Raw genomic sequence first — 11,231 nt, 5'->3', positions numbered from 1 at the left:
AGGAATCAAAACATTGACTCCGTTTATCTGTTAATAAAAATTTATTTGTCCAGCCTAGTTTTGATAGTGGGGCATGGAGTAGATGTTGGGGGGTATGGGGCAGGGAGATGAGGTTAGAATGTCATTTTAAAATCAGGTCTAGCTCAATGACTTCTGAGGCTGGGTCACAAATGTAGCATAGCTTCCATGCAAAATTTGCTTTCATAAGATACTCACTCTTAGAATCCAGGTGCCATAATGTGTGGAAGTTTCAGTCATATGAAGAAACCATGTGTAGGTGTTTTGGCTGAGAGCTCCCAGTGAGGTTCTAGCTCATAGCAAGCATCAGCCTACAGAAACTTGACTGAGGTGGCTTTTGAGATGACTCCAGCCCAGATGCTGTCAGACTGCAACTTCATGAAAGACCATATGAGACAACCACCTAGATAAGGTTAGTCACCACAGAATGAGGAGAGATAAGAAAAATAAACAATAGTTACTGTTTTTGCTAGAAGTTTGGGATTTCTTAGGCAGCACTAGATAACCAAAGCTTTTCTACTTGAAAGAACAACTGATATTATAAGCATCAGAGAACAACAACAACAACAAAAAATAGTATTTACAAAAACCAAGAGATGTCAGAGACAGATGAGATCAGTGTAGGTCATCGTATCTAAAAAAAAATTCATGGAGAAAGTGGAACATAAGCTGGATATTGAAGGAAGATTAAGTATAACATCATCCAACAAGAAGTATATCAATTAATAAAATCAAGTAGCACAGTATAGAAGGTGAATTAACATTCTTCTAAATAAAAAATATTTTAGTGGTTTTTATTGAGGAGGTAATTTACATAAATTATGACTAAAGAAGTTAGTAAACAACTTTAATATCACCTCATTTCTTAATTTGGAATCACCATTTTACCTTGAATAATATAAGATCACCTTGTGCTAATGTCAATAAAAAAAACTGATTGAACTTGTAACATACAGAATAGTCAAATATTTGATCTCTATAATGAAAAATAAAAATATGCTGTATTACTGTATTTATAAACCAGAAAAGTTATGCAGTCAAGTAAACTTGAATTAACAAACACCATAATATAGGTATCATTTTTCTTATCTTTTAAAAGACTTTGATGAAAAGGAGTTTTGGATTCATAACTAAAGAAGGTATGGTAATCTCTACACTTTTATTCATCTTGCATTAAATGGAAAGTTTGCCAAATAATCTGATAATTAAGAAGAATATTGCACATTAATTTGACACTGCCTTTACTATCATAAATTTCGCTTTACATTCCCAAGACCTCCTGTCCAATAGAAGAGATGACTATATGATATAATGTTGTTTTCTGCACTCAAAGTGTAAGTCTTTGAATAGACAAAATGTCTAATAGGGTGTAATTTCCTCTCAGACTTGTTGAATATCGATCATTGGAGTGGAATCTCTCATTTTATCTTCTAGTAGAAGATTTGAACTAGCTCATAAACCAGCTCATTCTCATTGTGGTAGGTTAGGTTACTCCTCATCACATATTAACTGCCTACTCCTCTGCATGGCCAAAGCGTACTTCTCCAGTTCATAGGCAAAAAATTTGGCTATATGACTGGCTGTGGCCAGCTGGGTTGTGGGCAACAGTGTCAGAAGGCTAGTTCTGAGCTGGGATTTTGGAAGGATTTGCAATGGAAGAACATGCCCCAGGCGTTCATTACTCCTTCCAGTTGTTTTCTAGAATGACTGCATGCAAAGCAGATCTGAACCCAAATGTAATATCATCCAGCATATCCAAGCTCAGACAAAATCTGTTGAATTGCAGCCAAATAGCAGACACGTGAGTGTAAAATAAATGTCTGGTATTTTAAGCTACTGAGATATTAGGGTTCTTATTATACATTATTTTTAAAGCCTGACTAATATATATGTTTTGAAATATTAAAAACAATTTTATTCCTTTAAGTTTTCAACTCTTCTTGAAACTATAGGAATGAAATTTGCCCCAGAAAAGAGCTATCAGTTTATTCTAATCATTTGTTATATTCCAAATATGTAAGGACTTATTAATAGTTTTCTAAAGTAAATATTTTGCCAGATCATTATTTTACTGATGAATTTTATAATCCCATTTATGATATATAAGTGAAATTTATTTATATCTATCCTACTCAATCTGGATAAGTTTGGAGTATACTAATGTCTTCTTAAAGAACAAAACACAGTGAGCATGCTGACAGACAGTGCCCATGAAACTCCCTTTTAGAATACAAATGTTTTTGGGTCAGAGTACATTTTGTTTAAAAAAATCTGTTCTCTAGGGAATAACTTGAGATATTACAGGGAAATAACTTTTCTTGTAATGCTATACTTTATAACCAAAAACGCACACATAAAAACCAAAAAGCAGTCAACCACTTGTCACTAGAGCAAAGAAGTTGTAAATTAGATAGACTATCTCCGACATGTGGCTTTAGGCAAATTTTCTTATTACTCAATCCATATTTTGCTCCTCACTTATTTTAGTTCATAGCAATTTCTATAGCTTATTCAACCACACTCTAGATTGCTTTCCAGGTTTTTATTGTTTCACACATATTTCTTTGTGTAGAGAAATCTTGTTCAGAAGCTCAGGTATTGCTTTGTTTCTATTATAAAGACTAAGTTCTTCCTGAAGGATGTATGATAATGCTGCCATTTAGACTGTAAGTAATGAGTCCAGGCTCCACTCCAGGTCCTACTCTGCTTTATAAGTTTGGTTCTAATATATATTCTAATTAAAGCTTCATTTTGAATCAAGCTAATCCACGGACTACGTGCTGTCTGCAATCCTTCAATGAACATGTGCTGCTTATGTTTATTTTTTTCAGGTTGTAAGACACTATTCAATTATTCCAGAAATGCATACATCTAGTGTGCAAAATGAAAATCCAAGTGCTGAACACTAGTTAAATTTGAACAGAATTGCTAAGTTAAATAAACAGAAAATAATTTGTCAGGGATCACGTACATATTCACTTGCTCCAAAAGGGTAGATGGCTCATATAACATTTTGGAAACCCATCTTCAATCTATTTAATGAGTTAAGCATTCTTGAGTAATAATAATTGTTATTTATTTAATATTTTAAATCTACTATGGTACTTGATTCTTTAAATAGCCCTAGGGAGAAGCTAACGCATCTAAATCATAATAATTTAATGAATTATAAAAAGGGTATTTCATATCAGGAGAGAATTGCCCATCTGATAACCTAGATCTGATTGTGCTTGGAAGAAAAAAAGAAAACTCATGTATCTACCTTATAATATTATCTCATATGCATATTTTCAATTGCATTAAAGATTTATTTAAAAATAAAACTACAAGTGTACTAAAATAAATATAGATGAATATGTAAATAATATTTGGCTGAAATGGCTATTTTAAGCATTAAAACAAAGATTGAAATTACAAGAAAAAAGATGTTTGATGCAACTACATTAAAAGCATTTTAAAATAAGTATATCAAATGCAACCAAAACATTAATAAGCAAATACCCAAGTAGATATACATTTGTAAAATGCATCACAAAATCAGTTAGGTTTTCGTAAAGAAACTAACCAAGGTGGTGACACCTATAGGAGGGGTAAATGAGGAAATTTTAATAAAATAATTTGTTATAAATGTGTGGGCAGAGTTAAAAAGAACAATGAATTGAGAAACAGTTGGTTTCTAGGTCTACCTGCACTAGACCTGTAGATGCAAGGGGCGCTAGTAGTTATCAGACACTGGCGAGACCAGTAGCTGTAGGAAAAAAGCTGTCTAACAGGAGCTATGGCCAATGATAATGATAACTGGCAGCCTAGCAGGGATAAAGCCAAAAGTATAAATTTCCAGAATTATCTCTCCTCTGATTGCTGTAGTTCCCTCTTTCCTCTGCTTTCCCTCTGGACAGAACCAACCAGAAATTAGAGGAGACGGTAACCTAGTTTGTGTAGTCCATGAAGATTGACATCCAAAGTCACAAAGCAGTCTGGCATGTGGATTTGTAGGGACAAATGGAGACTATTCCAGCATGGTCCACATATTAAAACTTTCTACATCCACTTTAATCCTCCAGCCAGATGAAAAGTTTTGTGTAAACTCAGGAGACATACAAGTTCCATCAGTTATCGTATAATGACAACATGATGTCAATTTCTCATCATACAATCACGTAAATCCTAAGTCATCAGCCCTTATCAGTGCTGTTACTAACATGTAATGGAGGAAGAAAAAATAATTAACATAAAGCATAGCTAATACAGGCCCACTTCTATGGATAGTCATTAGGCCTGAGTTGATAATTTCATTTTCTTCTTCCACAACCCACTCCAGTTTCCCGTCACTCCCTTTTTGGATCTTGGCTGAATGGGGATCATTATTTGATGGGGTGTGATCCAAATGTTTATTTCCACATAATCTTGGTACTTGGTAGTCCTTTGGATAAAGGACCATTAAAAACTATTCCAGTGAATTCCTTCGGTTTCAGATAAACACTTTATTGCTTCAATTGGGTTGGGGTAATCTAATAACCCTGTTCAATAGAAGCCTTATCATTTTCCTCAGCACCACCAGGAAACTGTAATGGATGAGCAACAGCCTCAGGTTCCAACTTAACCAAAATCTGATTGTAATCCCTCAGTGGAATCATTCTTTCTTGGGCATTAGAACCCAAATCTACTGAGTAAATGGCTGCAACGATGGAAAACAGATATTCCTCAAGTGGATTATTAAGTAAAATAATGAGAGCGGTCATTCCCACTTCACCCCTTTTTTCGTGAATACATGCATTCTAATGCTGGGGGAGATAACACTAAGTACCAGGTGCTACCTTAAAGAATATACTAGGCCGGGCGCGGTGGCTCACGCCTGTGATCCCAGCACTTTGGGAGGCCGAGGCGGGCGGATCACGAGGTCAGGAGATCGAGACCATCCTGGCTAATACGGTGAAACCCCGTCTCTACTAAAAATACAAAAAATTAGCCGGGCGTGGTAGCGGGCGCCTGTAGTCCCAGCTACTCGGGAGGCTGAGGCAGGAGAATGGCGTGAACCCGGGAGGCGGAGCTTGCAGTGAGCCGAGATCGCGCCACTGCACTCCAGCCTGGGCGACAGAGCGAGACTCCGTCTCAAAAAAAAAAAAAAAAAAAAAAAAAAAAAAAAAAAAAAAAAGAATATACTGTAAGGCAGCAGCTTATAAATTGCATATGCTTGAATTACAGTTTATAAGCTATATAAGCTATAATGTAAAGGACAGCACCCCAGTCTCACAATGTGTTCTCTCCCCACTGGTACCTTAACAGAGTCTTCAATAGGCCATTCTACTAATCTATAAGCTGTGTGAATCTGGGTGATGGAATATACACTACAACTTGGGAATTCTGTGAAAGTCTGTTGCCATATTTTCTTCATTACAATGTGATTTTTAAAAATCAGAAACAATGCCATGTGTCATATTATGGTGATGAGTAAGTCATTCTGAAAGCCCACAGTATGGTAGTCGGGGAAGGGAAATCCATATCTGAAATATGCATCTCTTCCTTAGTGGGGAAACGTACTATCTCCCCCAAAGTGAAAAGTAATCAGCTTGCCATTTGGTGGTCGTCTGGTCTCATCAGGGAACGATGGCCCATTAGGTGCACAGCATTGACCTCTGCTATTGGCAGAATGGGCCGTCAGCAGTGGTAACTGTAGATCAGCCTTGGGAGAGGAAGTTCATGGTGTTGAGTCTGCTGTACACACTTTGAAACAGGAGAGTTGTTGGGAAAAGTGACTGCCTGACATTCAGAGAATGAGTCATCAATTCCATTCCATTATTGAGACTCTCCTACAGTGGATTGGGATCACTACTGGTTGGGATAATACAGGCATTTATTTTCACATAACCTGAGTAGGCATATATTGGACACAGATATCTTCACACTCTGTGTTCATTCTGATAGTTTATCCATTTTCCTCTTTCTTTAAACTCCTAGTTCTAAATCTACGAATGTTGATTTTTCTGTTCTTAGCTACCCATTGTTAGGCACTGTCCATGAAACAGTGTGTATCTGTGTTTCAGGATTTCTTCCCTTCTATATCACATGCACTAACAGATGTGTCAAATGATAGTCTGACCACTGAGAGGATCCAGTTCCAGGATAACATCTGCGAGTGGCTGTAATTGTGTAAGTCCACAGACACCGTTGCACCAACAGACCCATCTAGTCACCAGGCCCATGTATATTCCTCATCTGTTAACTGACCATAGGGAACTCCCCCCGAGGCTATACATGTTGGTGGAGGAAGAAGCCGTAAAGGAGTAGGAATATGTGTCATGGGAGTCTGAGCCACCTTCTCATGCAGCTTTCTAGTGCTTTCCAGACTTGCTCAGTGTCATTTGTCATTTTTATTACACAATATAATAATGCTGAAGTGCATGTCTAATTTTAGAATTTGATGAATCATGCAATATTCAAGTCACTGTAGACAACGTGGGACACATAATCAATTGCTCTTTCATGGGCAGCACTATGTCTCTACCAGGGCCTAATAACTTTGCAAGTAGAGGACATTTTTTAAGCATAAGAGGGCATGACCTTACTCCAAAACTTGTGATGTGGTTCTCCTCTTGCGGTTTTCCAAAGACTTTATGTAACATCTCAGTCTGCCCCAGACACTTTGAATACCATGTGGTCATTTAGTCATAAGGCATGAGGAGCAAAGTACCTTACATCTGAGCCTGGGAACTGCTGCAGGGTCTTTTATATTCGAGATTGTATTCAAAATGGGCAGTCTGGTAAATGGGTCAGAGTATCACACACTAATGCAGCAAGTGCTGTCTTTAAAATCCACAAGGTCCAACAAGTACTATGTCTCTTGTTAGTTGTGAGTTGTGCAAAGTGGAACAACTCTTCTTTTGCTTAGAATGGGCATCTTGATGGGCCACAAGCTACCAAACTTCTAAAAACTTCACTGATACAGTGGTGCCTCAGCATAATGTCATCAGCCTAATGAACTTGTATGGTTCTGTGGTAAATCATGATCATCAGAGATCCCTTGATCCTGTATTATTAATATGTCTAAGAGCAGGTGGTAAAACAGTGAAGATGCTGTCACTGCCGCATCAAAATGGTTTAAAGTTATCATTGTTGATAAGAATTAAAATGAAAGCATTTTTTTTTTTCAGGATAGGATCATTAAGTTTTTTCTGTAAAGGGTTAGATATAAATAGCTTAGACTTTAGGCTACGTAGTCTTCTTGTTTGCTTTTAATAGGACAAGAAAAATGTAAAAAGCACTCTTAGTTCTTGGACCATCCTAAAACACTCCATAGGCTGTAGGTTGCCAACTCCTGTTCCAGGTGAGTAGTTGCAATTGGCATCACCATGCAAGTTTGCAATATTCCACAGTCATTTTCCAAGCCACTTCTAGCCAACAGGGAAGTTACACGGCAATGTGCTGATGTAGTATTTCTGCTTTTCTTCTGAATTATTCAAGTTTTCCAAGATGCCACTAGTCTCAGAAAATTCTGATAAGTAAATCCTTACTATTTCAATTTTTTTCATTAAGCATTTCAATTTATTTTTTACCTATCTCACCTTTTCCCAAATACTTAAAGAAGCTTGAACTTTTTATTCTATAAAGATAGTCATTATTCTGGGTATATTTTATCATATTTAGCTTTGGCATAGAGGTTAAGTGTCTGTTTGTTAATAATACTACTTTAAGAATAATGTTACTAAAATGTTAATATTAATTAAAAAGAATTAAATTATTAGATATTTTTCTATGTACTTACTGGGGGCTGAATTATTGATTTTATGATTATTAGTATATTCTGTGAAGGAGTTAAAGCAGGTATTTTGCATTATAAAATTAAGAAAAGATTCCAGGTTCAGTGGCTCATGCCTGTAATCCCAGCACTTTGGGAGGCTGAGGCAGGTGGATCACCCGAGGTCAGGAGTTCAAGACCAGCCTGGCCAACATGGTGAGACCCTGTCTCTTCTAAAATTACAAAAATTAGCTGGGCATGGTGGTGGGCGCCTGTAATCCCAGCTAGTCGGGAGGCTGAGGCAGTAGAATTGCTTGAACCTGGCTGAGATCGGGCCATCGCACTCCAGCCTGGGCAACATAAACAAAACTTCGTCTCAAAAACAAAAATTAACAAAAGATACTTTGCAGTTTAACTTTTTCACTGATTGTGTGAATAAATAGACATAGTTTGGTATATGTAATAATTTTTCCACTCTCTTAAAATAAAACACTTTTTCAAACTCCTGATAGCGTAAAATGCAGATTAGATATTATTTTCTCTAAACACACACACAAAAAGTTTTTTATTAATGCTCTGGGCCTGAACAAATGCTTTATAAAAACTCAACTACTTTACCAAAAATTTTCTATTCCAGCAAAATATTGACCATGGACATGATAGATAAGTAAATAATGTATACCCTGTATTATTGGCAGTTATCACAGTTCTGTTCAACTAATACAAAGACTAAATGAACTCTTCTGAAGTAACACAAGTTGCAAAATATAAACTGTGCGTAGCAAGATCAGTTGTTCTGGAAACATATACACTATAGGCCTTACTTGTCTAAGTCTGGTCTATAATCAGTGAATTTGGGATATCATCTTTTTATTCAAATAGATAAATTTTCTCAGGTGCCATTTTGATGTCAATTGTGATTAATGAAATCTTGCTTGTAATCTTCATTTGTCATTTTATTCCACTCTTGTACATTCCTTTGATTCTTTGAGCTTCAGTACTTCATAAGGTAAAAACATGCTATTAGGGAAATTGCTCTGTTTATAAAATACTATGGAAGTCTTTGGCCTTGGTTGAATTGGAGTAAGATGTTGTTTTCTTCCTCTTTTTAAGAATTATTATTGAATAGTTTTTATTTATCTGTGAGAATCCTTGACCCTTACCAAGCACCTTGAAAATTTTTATTTTCCCCAAGATAGGAAAAGTTCTGGAAAGGAGCTCAGCCCTGTGATTTGGTGTACTCTTGGTAATAAGGTTGACAATCCCTGATATTTGTCATCAAATAGAGCACAGACTGTGTTGGAGACCTTATTGATGCAGAATCGCAGCACCAATGAAGCCTACAGACAAATTGTTTTCTGCTAAGTTCCTCAATACAGGATTAACATTATTACTGGTGCTGTATAAATTATAGCCTGAATGTAATTAAGAAAGCAATTTAAGTTTTTTCTTCAGAGACCAGTGGAACCATAGCTTCATTGCAAATAAGAATTCTATAATATGAAACAGTTTGAAAATAAAATGAAGTGTAAATAATTATGCCAGAATAATAGGTCTGTAATAGAACTATAAAAATGGCATTGTCCTGTATTTTTAAACACTTTTTCACTTAACAGTATATTGAAAACATCATTTAATTCATTGAAAATTCTTTCATTATTAATGGCTGCATAGTATTCTTTTGTTGGATATTTAATAGGATTGTCTTGTTTTTTTGGATTACAAAGACTGACCCTGAAATGAACTTTTTTATACTTTCTTATAGCCTGAAGTTTGCCTCTATCAGTTAATACTATGCTTTGACAAATTCCATGAAGGTAATTATCTGCATAACTTGTTTGCATATTCATGTTTAATTTTGTTTTTAGTACACGTCTTGAAACTGCTCTCCAGTGAAGCTAGAATTTAAAATCCCTACCTCAAGATGTCAGAGCATCTTTGCTTCTTTCTCTAACCAACATAATTTCTTTAAGAGTTTTCCTTTTTTTAATATTCACTGAATATACACGTTAGTCAAACACCAAAAGCTCATAGGTAGAAACATTTGGCTGAAGTTTAGTGTGAAACCAAATACCACTCACAGAATAAATTTGACATAAAATGAGAATATTTTATCTAAATTTATAACAAAAATAATGATAGGTTTTACAACCATATTAGTAGAAATTTAGGAGTCATTTTTTAAAAAGGTTACATTGCTATGAAGAACAATAATATCTCAGCATCTGTGCTATTAAATTGAATATACTGCATTTCTGCCATAAGATAATGATAAGTATATTTCACTACAGTTAGCGGAATGCAGAGTGCTTTTGCTGACATCTCATTTTACCCTAGTAATTACTTATTTTTTCTCATATTATTTATATTACTTATTTTGTCTGAATTACATATTAGTTATTATCAAATGCATAGATTGAAGTGTTTTTCATAAGATATGGAGAGTTTATTCTGAAAGACTGACAACCTAAATGAAATTCAATATCTCAATATAAATAAAATTATTGAATTTACTGGTTTAATATTATAAATACTGGTATACCAGAGATTCCATAGAAAAATAATATGACACAATGTAATCTTTATTATTCTGCCTGATTTTTTTTACACTTAAAATTTTTTCTACATACTTTAAAAATTTATGAGTTCAAAAACGTGTGTAACATTTTTAAAATGTTACTTGGTTAACACATTCTCTGAACAGTTTTATAGTCTGCTAATTTATTTCTGTGTAACTATTTAAAAGTTAATAACAAATGTTGCAGTGTATAAAATTAGCCACTTTTCAGAATCATAATTGTTGCTGAATTTTACCCAAGCAATGATAAGTATAAATTTATACTTCAAATAACATATAGAATCACAGAATTTCAGCCACTTAAATGTAAGAACTCCATTATAAGTGATATCCAGAAGCTTACTTACATTTGAAAGTTAATATTAATAATAATTCTGAATGGCATTCCTTGATTACATGACTGATATTCTTACGGTGACTAGATGTGATGTCAAGTTATGATATTATACCTTTTTATGCACAAGTCTAGGCAGGACAGTTACAATGTTAAAGGAGGCATTTAGTGATTAAGCATTAAAAGATACAATCAAAGTGAAATGGCAGATTGGGACAGAATATTATGGCTGCAGTCAAACTTCAATAAACACCCAAGTCAAAATGAGATACAGTTTTTAATATATATTTGTCATTTATCTTTTGCATTTTATGTATTTCTTGCTCATTTCTTCTAGGTCTCTCTCTGGTAGGGCTGCTCATTTTAAAATCACAGATATAATTACTATGAAAAGTTGTAATCACTGTGGAAAATATTTTCGTCTTTTAGCAGATTATCTAGGAAATAAGCAGCAAGATTTACTCAAACACTTGTTATATAAATTTTATTTTGCTGAATTAAAATTTATTTTATTGAAAGAACTTGCAAATATGCCTTCCAATAAGCATAGATTTGCTCCAGTTTTT

The 11,231-nt window shown here is 34.8% G+C and overlaps 1 annotated feature.

Moving 5' to 3' along the window:
* Window positions 294-373: a silencer, noted in NCBI's record as "silent region_11503". NCBI's record gives its function as "represses an Ori minimal core promoter by ATAC-STARR-seq in GM12878 lymphoblastoid cells {active_cell/tissue: GM12878}" and the evidence as "EXISTENCE:reporter gene assay evidence [ECO:0000049][PMID:35858748]".

The sequence above is a fragment of the Homo sapiens genome, chromosome 2, assembly GCF_000001405.40.
Source record: "Homo sapiens chromosome 2, GRCh38.p14 Primary Assembly".
Taxonomy (NCBI): Eukaryota; Metazoa; Chordata; class Mammalia; order Primates; family Hominidae; genus Homo; species Homo sapiens.
This window is presented reverse-complemented; position numbering and strand designations above follow the sequence as displayed.